Source organism: Homo sapiens, chromosome 16 (genome assembly GCF_000001405.40).
Source record: "Homo sapiens chromosome 16, GRCh38.p14 Primary Assembly".
NCBI classification, from domain to species: domain Eukaryota; kingdom Metazoa; phylum Chordata; class Mammalia; order Primates; family Hominidae; genus Homo; species Homo sapiens.
In genome coordinates this window covers 66,638,159-66,653,433 of record NC_000016.10, presented here as the reverse complement: position 1 = coordinate 66,653,433, position 15,275 = coordinate 66,638,159, and the positions used below count along the sequence as shown (strand labels likewise).

The 15,275-nt window shown below is 44.8% G+C and overlaps 1 protein-coding gene across 6 annotated transcripts in view, besides 2 other annotated features; it reads left to right on the top strand.

Moving 5' to 3' along the window:
* Positions 1 to 15,275, top strand: part of CMTM4 (CKLF like MARVEL transmembrane domain containing 4) — a 98,566-nt gene that overhangs the window by 43,310 nt on the left and 39,981 nt on the right. The gene's annotated exons all lie outside the window — the stretch shown is intronic.
* Positions 2,154 to 2,448: an enhancer, noted in NCBI's record as "tiled region #8452; K562 Activating DNase unmatched - State 4:PromP". NCBI's record gives its function as "activates a minimal TATA promoter and a strong SV40 promoter by Sharpr-MPRA in K562 cells {active_cell/tissue: K562}" and the evidence as "EXISTENCE:reporter gene assay evidence [ECO:0000049][PMID:27701403]".
* Positions 9,524 to 9,702: a silencer, noted in NCBI's record as "fragment chr16:66677635-66677813 (GRCh37/hg19 assembly coordinates)". NCBI's record gives its function as "represses an EF-1alpha promoter that drives an FKBP-Casp9 reporter gene in an ReSE screen in K562 erythroleukemia cells {active_cell/tissue: K562}" and the evidence as "EXISTENCE:reporter gene assay evidence [ECO:0000049][PMID:32094911]".

Here is a 15,275-nt window from a genome sequence, read left to right as displayed (position 1 = left end):
CTCCCAGAGACTGGTTCCAAGACCTCTCTCTCTGGATGGTGTAGAGGTCCTGGGGGGTTGCCAGGGTAGTGGGTCTCACGACTGAGCTGGGTTTTCCCAATGGACTTCCATCTGGCCTCTTATGTATGATATGCAGTTCACTATTTTGGCTGAAATCAATCTTTAGCAAAAAGCTTCTCCCAGCCTGCTCGTTTCTCATTCAATGAGAAATGCTGTGTCCTTACTCTCAGTTAAGGTGGTTGGCCAGAGTTGTTAGGTTGGGGAAGTACCCAGGAAGTAAAGCAGGAAGAGGAAGGAAAGGGGGAGGTTTTGCTTTTGTATTCTGGGGATGCGACACTGCTTTCTGGGATTTCAGCTTCATCTATGAAGCTAGGACCATGAGAAAGTAAAGGGGAAAAGAAGATCCTAATGGCAGCAGTGTAGTTAAACAGCTTCAGATGTTTATGCTTTAAGGGCAGCTTGTTTCCTCTGTCCTCTACATGTGCTTTGTTTTTGCTCCATTACTAATTTAAACGGTCTGAAAATTTGACTTTTTGAGCAGGGTAGCATTCGCAATAAGATTCTGTGGGCAATCTCTTGGCAAGAAAGATGCTGACCGTCCTGTGGTTTTCTGAAATCATGTGCAGTTATATCATCAAACCACATAATAAGGATTTCTGGATTTTCTTTTAAAAATAAGAAAATGTTTCGCACTTTATTGGATAACCCTGTTTGTGTGCTCTAAGTAGTTAGATACCAAAAAATAAACCTATTTTAATTGGAGCCTGTGATACAGTATCCAGCCGTTGTTGATGGGTAACCTGTGGATTTAATGTATGCGTTAGAGCATGCTTCTAAGTATGAAAATTTACGTTGAAGGTGAGAATCTTGCCAAAAAATTGAATTGAATGCAATGTCCAAAGTTCAACTCTTATTTATGGCTTTAGAATTCCAAAATATCAAAATTGTTTACACAGAGAACCCGCTTGAAACATCTGTCAGGGACACTGATTGAATAGGCCTTAGTGACACAGGCCACACCCAGACCCAACCAAGCTTTCTGGGGCATCAACAACCCAATGCTTCTGTCCTCAGTGGAAAACGGTGCCTTCAGGGGTCTGCGGTAAGCACCACTTAGAGTGGAGTGTGGCCTCGGAGGCTGGCGGGCTTTCTTTGAGAGTGCACACCTTGCTGCCGTCTGCTGCACCCCAGCCTTGCCTGCGCTTTGTTTTCTTTCACCATCCTGAGTCCTTGGAAGCCTCTCCCTTTGACCCCATTTCTCCTTTTCTTGTCAACAATGAGGAACTTACTTGCCTCCACCTCTTGGCTCCTTTGCTCAACTAATCACTGTTGACTAATTAGTCCTGCTGGCCAGCCCAGGTGGCTTTAGCTCCTGAGGGCCATCTCTGCCCTTCCAGAGCAGGTAATTTTCTATTACTTCTTTGCTACCCTCAGGTCCTAGCTTGGGCACTGCTAGAGAAAAGCAATGAAACCAAAGATCACATGCAAACACCTTGGTTGCAGATTGAATAATTTACACTTGCAATTAGCTCCTTTGTTTCAGAACCAAACATTATTTGCTCATTGCTCGATTGTCTTAAGGGAGAGGAGGGTGATATTTTAAGTTTATCATCCTCATGGGATGGCCTCCCTTGGGAGGGGAAAAAACTCATGGATTATTTTTCTTAGAAAAATTAAGATATTACTACAGCTAGATCCCTTTGAGAATGAGCAGTCATGTTGTGGGCTTTGTCAGAGTCTCAGCACTGGCTACCCCAGGTCTTGTATTGCTTTCCTTGAAGAGAAATCATACATGGTGATTTTTCCCATGGTGAAAGGGGTGGGAAGACTCTGGATAAGTCATATGTTAGGCATCTTATCTAGGAGAATGAGGTAGGGGAGGAACTAGCTTTGGGACCTGGCCACACGATGGAGGTGCTGCCTGCTTCCTGAGTCGGGGTGTGAGGATCAGAGATGTTTGGACTGTGCCTGGTGCAGAGCCCTGTAGCTTCCTTACCTTATTGATGCTCCCTAAATGGAAGCCGTTGTTATTCGGAGGTGCCTGGCATTGCAGAACTATTTGCCCCCGTTTGCAGACCATATAAATGGCTTCTGGCCTGGGAACTTATGTTTTAAGGTGATCTGTTGTTTAGCGTGTGTATAAAGAGTGGCTTAAAACTCCCCATCTCAACACCGTGAAAGATGGTGCGGAGAGGCTTCGTGCCTCTTCTGTAGTTCCGGCTCCAGGAGCCCATCTTAACATCCCCTGTTGGTTGCTAAGAGAGGAGCTGGCTTCGGAAGCACAGTCCCTGCTTTGCTCTCTGCTGCCCCCTCTGGATTCTCTGTTCTGCACATTCTGAGGTCTTCCAGCAGCCGTTAACAACTAGCCTTTTTCGTCTGTGGTTAAATACAAGCCCTGTCTCGTCTTTCAGATATTTTTTCAGTATTGGCAGGAATAGAGACATTTGAATTTCGAATGTGCTGGAGTTGATTAGAGCTTCGTCTGATTCTGAAGACACTTTGAACCCTGCTGTGTGTGCGCGTGTGGTCACCACTCAGCTTCGTAGGTCTTCACTAGGTTAACAGGGTCCTTAATAGTTGCTCCCCTGCTGGGTAAATGAGCTTCCATGTTTTTACTCTGTAAATTGTGCATGACGTGACAAAGCTGAGTATTGACCAGCACATGCCTTTTGTGTTTCCCAAACTAGTTTACCTCCAGACATGGCTGTGCAAAGTGTTAAGAGGTGTGCGGGGGGAAGAAATCTGTGCTCTTGTAACATCCATGTATTAAGTAAAGGTAAACAGGTTTTACTGTGAGGCTTTTCAGGACTGTTAAGATGCTGGTGTGCCTGATACCCTAAGACCAGGGATATAGTTAAGGTGGGAACAGCATGGGGCTTAGTATGAGAAGACCCAAAGCTGTATGTCTGCGGGGCCCACCACTCTCCACACTTGTGTCCATTTGGAGCTGCTCCTCTGTAAGGGAAAGGGCCAGGCTGCATCTGTAGTCTCAGCCTTAAAAAGAATTTTTTAAAAGCACAACAGAAATACTTTCCCAATGTATAAACCCGAACGATGGTTTGCAAACTAGTCTTGGAACATTAGTTTAGGAGAAGGCTATTAACAGGTGTTCGGTTCTTTGGCCAGAAAACTTTAGGAACCACTGCTAATGGGAGTATAAACATAAAACAGAGGCACTTTGGTGAGGAACTAGGTTGTATCCCAACCTTCCACCCACCTCCAGCCAACCAAGGAACACATCTTGAAAGTTAGGCACCATCTCACACAAATGTTCTCTCCCGTTTTTCCTCTAAGACCACCTGAGTTTGGTGTTGACTGGGAAGCCTCCTAAAGCCTCTGCTGCTGCCTAAGCCCTCATTGACCCTCCCTCTTCCAAATCCCAGCAGCACTTTTTGTCTCGATACCTCCCTGGGCACCGAGCCACGCACCTGGTTAGTTCTTTTTGTGTATAATAGCGTGTGTTGGCTGGACTGGAACTGAGACCTTAAGCACAGAGAGTCTCCAAGTGCCACAAAACGATCAGGGTTGAGGGAGAAGTTGTCTGGCCTCACCCTGTTTGCCTGGGGCGTGGCCTTTCTTATACATGTCTGTGATCCTGACATGTACAGGGATTAGGGGCCCTGAAAGAAGCCATACTCAGGAGAGGAGGGCAGCAGACGAGTGCCAGTGAGAGCCCTGCCCCTGCCCCCCATGAGGAGGGAGTCGGGCTCTGGACCTGACTCATGTTCATAGGAGGGTGTGAACCCAGTGCAAGGCTGAGGTTGAGCCCAGGCTTAGGGAGTGGGGAGGCTGCTGAGGACGGACCATACCTGCTCCCACTGTGGAGTCTGCAGGACACCAGGTGATATAAGTCATGATTAAATTGGGATATACTCTTCAATAGATTTGAAATGACCTGTCATGGAAATAATGCATATATTAGGAAGAAAAAAAATCAGGGATAGATAGATAGATAGATAGATAGATAGATAGATGGATAGATAGAGAGAAGGAATCAAGACCAAAAGAAAAAAGCAGCATATTTGCTCCCTAAGGAGCTTGTTCACCAATGCATCCCTAGAGTTAGGATCGTGCCTGGCATGTAGTAGATCCTCAGTTAATTTTAGCTGAATAAAGGGATGGTACTTGCCTAAATACTACTTTAAAAAAAAAATGGACTTTTAAAACATAAAGGCAAATGTCCACACCCACCTCAGGAACTTTTTCTTTTTTTAAGAGACAGGGTCTCACGCTATTGCTGGGACTGTAGTGCAGTGGCTATTACACAGCCATGATCATAGCTCACGGTAGGCAGCCTCAAACTCCTGGGCACAGGCGATCCTCCTGCCTAGGCCTCCTGGGTAGCTAGGACTACAGGTGTGCACCACTGTGCCCAGCAACCTCAGTCACTGTTTAGAACATAGTGTCTGGGGGCTAAGATTTCTCTTTTCTTTTCTTTTCCTTTTCCTTTTCTTTTCTTTTTTTGACAGAGTCTCGCTCTGTCAGCCAGGCTGGAGTGCAGTGGAATGATCTTGGCTCACTGTAACCTCTGCCTTTTGGGTTCAAGCGATTCTCCTGCCTCAGCTTCCTGAGTAGCTGGGATTATAGGCCTGCGCTACCACACCCAGCTAGTTTTTGTATTTTTAGTAGAGATGGGGTTTCACCATGTTGGCCAGGCTGGTCTTGAACTCCTGACCTCAGGTGATCAGCCTGCTTCAGCCTCCCAAAGTGTTGAGATGACAGGCGTGAGCCACCGTGCTCGGCCTGGGGGCTGAGATTTATTTCTTTTTTTTTTTGAGACGGAGTTTCATTCTTGTTGCCCAGGCCGGAGTGCAATGGCGTGATCTCGGCTCACTGCAGCCTCCGCCTCCCGGGTTCAAGCGATTCTTCTGTCTCAGCCTCCTGAGTAGCTGAGATTATAGGCATGCGCCACCAGGCCCAGCTAATTTTATATTTTTAGCAGAGATGGGGTTTCACCATGTTGGTCAGGCTGGTCTTGAACTCCTGACCTCAGTTGATCCACCAGCCTCGGCCTCCCAAAGTGCTAAGATTTCTTAAGATATTAATGATGAGGAAAAACTCAGATCCAGGAAAAATATTTTCATTCCCAAACAGATGAAGGCACCATCCTCGTAGCAGTTGGGAAAAGCAAGAATACTAGGTAGTAACAACCAAGGTTCATTTTTCTGCTTACTCTTTCTAGCCCATGTGTCCTCACTGCTGGTAGAGCAGCTACATTTCAGAGCTTGCTGGGCACTGTGGTGAAGGGAGGTCTCTGGAACATCTCATACTGGCAACAAAGTCTTCCACCTGAAAGTGATGCACTTGGCAGCTCATTAGCCAGAAGTAGTCTTGTGGCCCCACACAAATTCAAAGGATGCGGGGAAGGTGCTGGATGGTGGAGAACCACAAATATTTGGCAGCCAGCATTAATGACTCCTACAACCCTAATGACAGCTGTCTTTTATAGGATGAGAGTTGCTTTGGATTCAAGTGAATACAGACAAAGTGCATTTAAAGCAGTGGGTCACCATCACTGTAAATAAAAATACCACTTTTATCAAATGATTTCACAACTTCTCTCACACAGATGTCTAATGAGTAATCAAAGAACAGCAAAGCTGGGTGTGGTGGCGTGCACCTGTAATCCCAGCTACTCGGGAGGCTGAGGTGGGAGGATCTCTTGAGCCAGGAGTTTGAGTCCAGCCTGGGCAACATAGTGAGACTCATTTTTTTTTAAAAAAAGAAAGAACAATAGTTTGAAGTTAGGTTCTCTGGTGTTTTGTGTGGGTGATTAAGGCTGGATCCTGAACTTCTCTGAGTAGCACTCAGAGAGATAGATGTTCACATTCCTCATTTGCTCTTTTGTCCAACTTCTTCCCCAGTCTCCTCACAGTTGGCCCTGCGCACACCTTCCTTACCCCCAATGGTGTATCAGAAGCAATGCTCACGTATTTCTAGGTGATGTCATAGATTGCTTTTTTAGATGGAAAAACAGGGTAAGTTTTTGACTTCTCAGATGACTGACAAGATTAAATCTGGACTAAAAAGAGAACTTTCTTTTGTGAAAACAGGCTATAATTGTGAAGCCTGTGTACTTTTTAAAAGGACTTTTTTTTTTTTTTTTTTTTGAGACAGAGTCTCGCACTGTTGCCCAAGCTGGAGTGCAGTGGCATGATCTCGGCTCACTGTAACCTCCGCCTCCCCATTTCAAGCGATTCTCCTGCCTCAGCCTCCTGAGTAGCTGGGACTACAGGCACCTGCCACCACACCCGACTACTTTTTTGTATTTTTTTTTTTTTTAGTAGAGGCGGGGTTTCACCGTATTAGCCAGGATAGTCTTGATCTCCTGACTTCATGATCCACCCACCTCGGCCTCCCAAAGTGTTGGGATTGCAGGTGTGAGCCACTGCACCTGGTCAAAAGGGCTTTTAAAAAGTCCTGACCAGGCTGGGCGTGGTGGGTCACGCCTGTAATCCCAGCACTTTGGGAGGCCGAAGTGGGTAGATCACCTGAGGTCAGGAGTTCGAGACCATCCTGGCCAACGTGGTGAAACCCTGTCTCTACTAAAAATACAAAAATTAGCCGGGTGTGGTGGTGCACACCTATAATCCCAGCTACTCAGGAGGCTGAGGCAGGAGAATCGTTTGAACCCAGGAGGTGGAGGTTGCAGTGAGCCAAGATCGCACCATTGCACTTCAGCCTGGGTAACACAGCGAGACTGTGTCCCAAAAAAAAAAAAAAAAATTCATGAATGGTTTCAAAACAAGTAAGGATTGGTTCTTAGAGGTCACTAAAATTTAACTCATAACCTGGATGTTTCAAAAAAGTGTCCATACATAGGGCATTTAATTTTTTTTTCTAATTAAAAACACATATACTCTTTGTAGAAATTTTGGAACATGAAAGCGGGCTCAATGAAAATAAACCTATCCACATTTCTACCATATAGATGGGTTTACTATCAATATTTTACTATAGATTCTTCCTGAATCTATAATATATACATGTGATATATTTACATACATGCAGTTATATACAATGTGTACATATATGTGTATATATTATATGCATGTATTATAAATACATATATGTATGAATATGTATATTTCTTACATATTCAAACACGACAGGAGTGTTAATTAAAAAAGGTAAAATCTCTGTGATTCCCCTGTTCCCCACCTAATCCTAATCCATAGAGAGGTATTGATTTTTTACTGTTTAGCTTAAATCCTTCAATGCACATAAATGTGTTTGTAAACACAAATATGCTTATTTTTTGTTCTTCACCAAAAATGGGGTCACTTTATGCCTTGTGTGCTGTACTCTGTTCTTTCTCTAAGTATCCCTTGGACCCTTTCCCCGCCAGTCCACAGAATCCCCCATCTCTCTGCCTTGTGTTTCTTACTGTATGTAGATGTGCTGTTGTTTATTCACCATGGCTCTCCTGCTTTGTTTGTTTGTTTGTTTGTTTTTGAGACAGAGTCTCGCTCTGTCGCCCAGGCTGGAGTACAGTGGCGCAATCTCAGCTCACTGTGACCTCCACTTCCTGGGTTCAAGTGATTCTCCTGCCTCAGCCTCCCGAGTAGCTGTGATTACAGGCGCCCACCACCACACTCGGCTAATTTTTGTATTTTTAGTAAAGACAGGGTTTCACGATATAGGTCAGGCTGGTCTCGAACTCCTGACCTCAGGTGATCCAGCTACCTAAGCCTCCCAAAGTGCTGGGATTACAGGCGTGAGCCACCACAGCCGGCCTGGTTACTTTTTAATACGACACACAGTGCAGCGTCATACATGTGCATTTATTCATAGGGTACATAGTCCTAGAATTTCTGGGTCTAAAGGTGTGCACAGTTACAGTTTTTTGTTTTTTGTTTTTGAGATGGAGTCTCTGTCGCCCAGGCTGGAATGCAGTGGCGCAATCTTGGCTCACTGCAACCTCTGCCTCCCGGGTTCAAGCAGTTCTCTGCCTCAGCCTCCCGAGTAGCTGGGATTATATGTGCCCGCCACCATGCCTGGCTAATTTTTGTATTTTTAGTAGAGACAGGGTTTCACCATCTTGACCAGGCTGGTCTTAAACTCCTGACCTCATGATCCACCCGCCTTGGCCTCCCAAAGTGCTGGGATTGCAGGCGTGAGCCACTGTGCCTGGCCATGTTTTTTCTTTGAGATGGAGTTTTGCTCTTGTTGCCCAGGCTGGAGTGCAGTGACGCAATCTCAGTTCACTGCAACCTCCGCCTCCCAGGTTCAAGTGATTCTCTTGCCTCAGCCTCCCAAGTAGTTGGGATTACAGGCGCCTGCCACCATGCCCAGATAATTTTTGTATTTTTAGTAGAGACTGGGTTTCACCATGTTGGCCAGGCTGGTCTCAAACTCCTGACCTCAGGTGATCCGCCTACCTTGGCCTCCCAAAGTGCTGGGATTACAGGCATGAGCCACCGTGCCCGGCCAATTTTGACAAGGATTGGGAGATCACTGTCTGCATGCCATGCTGGTCTGTACCCTCACCATCAGTGTGGAAAATGGCCTGATTTGACATTTTCTCACCAGTATGGGATATCACTTTATAATTTTTATGAATCGAGTAGATGAAAAGGGTACCTCAGTTTGCATTTCTCTTGTTGGAAGTGAAGTTGAGCATCTGTTGATGTGTTTATTGGTCATTCCCCTCCCCCGCCCTGGGTCTGGAACATTGCAGGCTGCTGTGGCAGGGAAGGAGCATGGTGGAACTGTCTGTAGTTCCAAAAGGCTGCTGCCAAGGGTCACGACAGGGGTCTACCCCACTCACACCTCATTGTCCAAACCTAGCAGTAGGTACAGGTTTTGAGGAGCTTAAGACTCATGATTTTGGAAAAAGAAAGACAAAAACACAAGACAGGTACAATAGTGAATATTGTTTTAAAATAAGAAACACACTAAATGACAAAGGGGGGGCCTTCTTTTGACATCCAACAGGAAACAATAAATTACAAATTTAAAAAGCATTTTCTTTCTGTTTTTGTTTTGGCCTCCACTGCAATAGATCCTTCGTAGATTTGAACTTCAGTATGATCAGTAATTCTGAAAAAGTATACAAAGTCTACCTGACATTTCGGTGTACACAAGTGCAGTTCAGATTTTAGGTTGCCACTACATTGTTTCGAGCAACGTCATGTCATTATACGGTCAATATGTTCTGAGGCCCCATTCACTGGTTTATTGATGAACATGTGTAGGAGTTTGTCACTGAACACTTGTTTCTTCATGCTGTTTCAGTGAGTTGGAAGCAATTTTGTGTGCCATTTTATTTGGGATTGTCAGACTTTGTCAATTTAAAATTCATCAGCTGTATCAAGATGCGATCTGGTACATTGGGAGACATAAAACTCCAAACTCCTGCACAGAAGTACTTGGCTGTTGGCCGGGGGCGGTGGCTCACACCTGTAATCCTAGCACTTTGGGAGGCCAAGGTGGGTGGATCACCTGGGGTCAGGAGTTTGAGACCAGCCTGGCCAACATGATGAAACCCCGTCTCTACTAAAAATACAAAAACTAGCTGGGTGTGGTGGTGGGCACCTGTAATCCCAGCTACTTGGGAGGCTGAGACAGGAGAATCGCTTGAACCCGGAAGGCAGAGGTTGCGGTGAGCCGAGATCATGCCATTGCACTCCAGCCTGGGCTGCAAGAGCGAAACTCCATATCAAAATAATAATAATAATAAAAATAAGAAGTACTTGCTGTTTATAGTACTGCCACAGTTTTGTGCCCTACACACCCTGGAATTCTGATAAATTCTATTTCATGTGGCTCCCATCAAAAAAGGGAGAAAACGTTTAGTGCATTTATAGTTGCATACACTACATTACTGAGTATTTTCCTGATAAGACACAACTCTCATTTAGGCACTGATGACAATAGAATTCTGTACTTACAATTTTATGCATTTGATGATCTGAAGAATTTCCCACAGACAAGCTTCTGGCTCCGTATGTTTCAAACCCTATTTCTCCTCTACTACCCACATATTTCTAGTTGGTCATCATAGGACAGTTTATCTCATGAAGTTTGGGGTCTGTTCCATTGTCATAATGTCAGATGAGCCTGTGCAGTGGTGTCAGAGCATATGTGAAAGCCATTCCTCCACTGGGAGTGCTACGGTAGCTTAACCACACGTGGAACCGGCAGCTAAACCCAAATTTAATGTATCCCTCACTCAACTTCCAGTTAGCTGAATGCCAAAAATGCCCACTGTGGCTGGGTGCAGTGGCTCATGCCTGTAATCCCAGTACTTTGCAGGGCTGAGGTGGGTGGATCACTTGAGGTCAGGAGTTTGAGACCAGCCTGACCAACATGACGAAACCCTGTCTCTACTAAAAGTACAAAAATTAGCCGGCCTTGGTGGCAGGTGCCTGTAATCCCAGCTACTCAGGAGGCTGAAGCAGGACAATCACTTGAACCCGGGAAGCAGAGGTTGCACTTGCCAAGATCTCACCACTGCATTCCAGCCTGGGCGACAGAGACTCTGGCAACAAACGAAACAAAACCAAAAATTGCTATTTCATTATTGCCTGGCACAAGAAGCTGTGACAGAAAGTTAGAGTGGAAGGATGACTATTATGGTAACTTCATCAGCCAGTCCTCTCTCTTTCCTTCTCTTCCTGCTTTTAGATGCTGCCAATCATAATTTGCCACAGTTGTGGAAATCTGACAACCTGTTAATATCAATTCTGGTTTTGTTTGTTCGTTTGTTTGTTTTGGTGATGAAGTCTCCCTTCGTCACCCAGGCTGGAGTGCAGTGGCGCGATCTCGGCTCATTGCAAACTCTACCTCCAGGGTTCAAGTGATTTTCATGCCTCAGCCTCCTGCCTAGCTGGGATTACAGGCATGTGCCACCACACCCAGCTAATTTTTTGTATTTTTAGTAGAGACAGGGGTTTCACTGTGTTGGTCAGGCTGGTCTGGAATTCCTGGCCTCAAGTGATCCAACTCCCTTGGCCTCCCAAAGTGCTGGGATTACAGGTGTGAGCCACTGTACCTGGCCCAGTTTACTTATCAAATATTAAAATATTTACTCTGGTCAGTTTGTAGTTGCCACCTGGAAAGGACTCTCTCCAAGGGCATCCATAATCGCATGATTAGTAAACAAAAAAGTTTTTTCTTATATACATCTTTTTGGACATCTCTGTATAATTTGTTCACGTGACATTTGCTCACTTCAAGGTTGTTATAAGTTGAACTATTTTTGACTCTTTGGTTCCCTTGAAGTTGTTGGCTTCTAGTATCACTTTATCTGAGCCCTTCTTGGTCAATAGGTAGTTTTTATTTCAGCAGTGATTAGATTTCACTGTGCTAGAGAAAATGTTGACATTTTGCTGTGTCCAATGTCAGACAAAAAAATGTTTTGCTTGTAACAGCAGAGTATTAGAAACCATCTAAATGCCTATCAATAGGGGATCAATTAAATTGTGGTTGTGTATAGAGGTGTATATGTGTGTATTTATGTATCTGTCTATGTAATTACATATGAATACATGTAATTATTAAAAGTAACATCTATATGTGGACATACCTGTGGAAACACTATTTAGCAGAAAAAGTGGGCTGGAAAATAAGATATATAATAGGTATTTTATGGTTTAAATAGGTGTAGGTTATAACATGTTATTTTCTTATTTTGTATATAGCATTTTGTCATTTGTAGAGCCCTTTTACATATATTTTTGTTTGGATTTTGAACACAGTGACCATTTGAGATTTGGAAAGGAGGCAGGTATAATTTTATGGGTGAGAAGCTAATAGGGAAATAACATAGTGGGGCAGTAAGAACTGGAGAGACTGAGAATCAAATCTTGGCTATTACATCCTGGCACCGCTTCTTGCTATCTATATGTCACAGAACCTTAATTTCCTTATCTGTAAAATGGGGCTAATATCTACCTCATAAGGTTGTACTGGGGAACTAAATGATAAAAAACAAGAAGTGCCTATAAGGTGTTTGATTTGTATGTACCTGTAATCAATGAGTAATGAGTAGAATATTAATGTTTTATAACAACAAGAGTTTTCCCTCCCTGATATATTATTTATTGCTGCATAACTAATTACCTTAAAACTTTGTGACTTAAAACAAGACATCTTAGGCGGGCCACAGTGGCTGAGACCAGTAATCCCAGTGCTTTGGGAGGCTGAGGCGGGAGGATCTCTTGAGGCCAGGAGTTTGAGACCAGCCTGTGTGAGACCCTGTCTCTACAAAATAAAGAATTATCTGGGCATGGTGGTGTGCCCCTGTAGTTCCAGCTACTCGAAAGTTTGAGGTAGGAGGGTCACTTGAGTCTAGGAGTTCAAGGTTGCAGTGAGCTATGATTGCATCACTGCACCCCCTGGGTGACAGAGGAAGACCCTGTCTTAAAAAAGCAAACAAACAAGAATCAGATCTTTCTTTTCTTTTCATTTCTGTGTGTCAGGAATTTGGGGGGTGGCTTTGCTCTGGTTCTCTCAGGAGGTTGCAGTCAAGCTTTTGGCTAGGGCTATGTCATCTGAAGGCTTGCCTGGGGCTGGAGGACCTATGTCTAAGACGGCTTGTTCAACATGGCTGTTGGCAGGAGGCTTTAGTTCTTGGCACCTATACCTCTCCATAGGGCTGCTTGAGTACCCTCAAGACATGGCAGCTGGTTTTTCCCCATCATGAGTGGTCTAAGAGAGAGCAAGGCAGGAACCATGCTAACTTTTCTGACTGAGCCTGTGCAGTCACACACCTGTGAAGTCATTTCTGCAAGGTAATAGGTCAGCCCTATTCATTGTTGCAAGGGTCTTGTCACTCTCCTCCTGGCTTCTGCCCTTGTCCTCACTGTAGTCTGTTCTCCGCAAAGTAGCTGGTGGCCCTTTTAAGACCCAAAGGAGATCCTGCCACTCTCTGGTGCTTCCATCACACTCAGAGTGAGAGCCGCATACCTCACTGCACCCAAGCGCTCTTTGGGTCTGACCTCCCTCCTGTGATTCTCCCTAGGGGCCACCTGACCCCCTTCCCAGGGATCTCACCTTGCTCCCCACTCTGCCTCCAGTGCTCTTTCTCCAGACAGCTGTCCCTTATATGTTCGGCAACTCTGTCTCAAATAGCACCCTCCAGGGACACTCTGTCTAAACTTTATTTATTTTTATTATTTTTTTTGAGACAGAGTCTCACTCTATCACCCAGGCTGGAGTGCAGTGTAGTGGCGCGATCTCAGCTCACTGCAACCTCCGCCCCCAGGCTCAAGCAGTTCTCTTGTTTCAGCCTCCGGAGTAGCTGGGATTACAGGCGTGCGCCACCATGCCCAGTTAGTGGTTTCACCATGTTGGCCAGGCTGATCTCGAACTCCTGACCTCATGTGATCCACCCGCCTCGGCCTCCCATAGTGCTGGGATTACAGCTGTGAGCCACTGCGCCTGCCCTAAACTTTATTTTATGTTAAAATTTTTTTAGAGTCTCACTCTGTCACCCAAGCAGGAGTGCAGTGGCACAGTCTCCACTCACTGCAACTTCCGCCTCCCAGGTTCAAGGGATTCTCATGCATTAGCCTCCCTGGTAGCTGGGATTACAGGTGTGCAGCACCACATCTGGCTAATTTTTGTATTTTTAGTAGAGACAAAGTTTTGTCATGTTGGCCATGCTGGTCTGGAATTCCTGGCCTCAAGCGATCCACCCACCTCAGCCTTTTGATGTGCTGGGATTACAGGCATGTGCTACCATGCCCAGCTACTTTTTGTATTTTTAGTAGAGACAGGATTTCGCCATGTTGGCCAGGCTGGTATGGAACTCCTGGCCTCAAGCAATCCACCCGCCTCAACCTCCTGAAGTGCTGTACTCCCAAAGGGATTACAGGCATGAGCCACTCTTCCTGGTCTCTGTGTCTAAACTTTCGAACACCTTTGCCCCAGCTATGCTTTGTTCACCTTCCCTGCTTCCATTTTTCTCCTTCGTTCTTATCACTAACTCACTCTTTTTAAATGTAATTTAAAAAAAAACAACTCCTTTATTAGACTGTGAGCTAAGAGCAGGAGTTTTTGTCTGTTTTGTTCACTGCCACAACAAATGGTCTATTAGATTTGCATATCCGTGAAGCCATTTTTATGTTAATATTTAAGAATGTAGGTGTTACCTTCCCACACAAATATGGTTGAAGTTAGCATACCAGAAACATTTGTAACTCATCAGTACAGTGTGTTATTTCTTGCCCAAGATTACTAGATCTGATTACTGGGGTGAAAAAAAGGGGAAAGTTTAGGAGTTTCCCTTATGTGAACTATTTCTTTTGTGAATTGATTGCAAGTTAGGCATGTAATTCAGATGGAGAATTAAAGTCTATGGTGCAGTAGAGAATTATAAGAAGAGCTATTAGGAGAAGCACAGTGTGTATATTTAAAGACCCATATCTTTTGTGTTATTGACAAGTAAAAATCTCTATATTTACTGTGTACAGCATGATGTTTCTAAATGTGTATACAATGTGGAATGGCTCAATCCAGTGAGGTAACGTGCATTATCTCACATACTTACCTTTGTTTTTTTTTTTTGTGGTGAGAACATTTAAAATCTACTCTGTTTGTTTGTTTGCTTTTGTTTTTGTTTTTTTTGAGATGGAGTCTCACTCTGTCGCCCAGGCTAGAGTGCAGTGGCACGATCTCAGCTCACTGCAACCTCCGCCTCCCGGGTTTCAAGTGATTCTCCTGCCTCAGCCTCCCAAGTAGCTAGGATTACAGGCGCCCACCACCATGTCCATCTAATTTTTGTATTTTTAGTAGAGACGGGGTTTCACCGTGTTAATCAGGCTGGTCTCGAACTCCTGACCTCAGGTGATCCACCTGCCTCAGCCTCCCAAAGTGCTGGGATTACAGGCATGAGCCACCACACCCAGCCTAAAATCTCCTCTCAACAATACAATGCAATACATTGTTGTTGACTAAGTCACCATGTTGTACAATAGATCTCTTGAACTTATTCTTCCTGTCTAACTGAAATTTTGTATCCTTTGACCAAGAAGACCCATGTCTTTAATGTGTTGACTTAGAAAAGACCACATATTGTTAGGAAAGAGGTTCTGTGTAGAAGTATTGACAATGGGAAAGGCAGAACCACTCTTCCATTCGCCTGAAGACACTGACCAGGCAACCAGGAATTGTAGATGTGGGTTTTCTAATGGCTCATTCAGCCCCCATCTGCCAGCTATGTGAAAGTTACTGTGCTTGGTGCCTTGGGGGTAGATGGGGATGGACTACCCTGCCCCCTAAAAGCTCCGGAGGCAGAGGCTGCAAGATGGTAAGGATAGAATGCAATC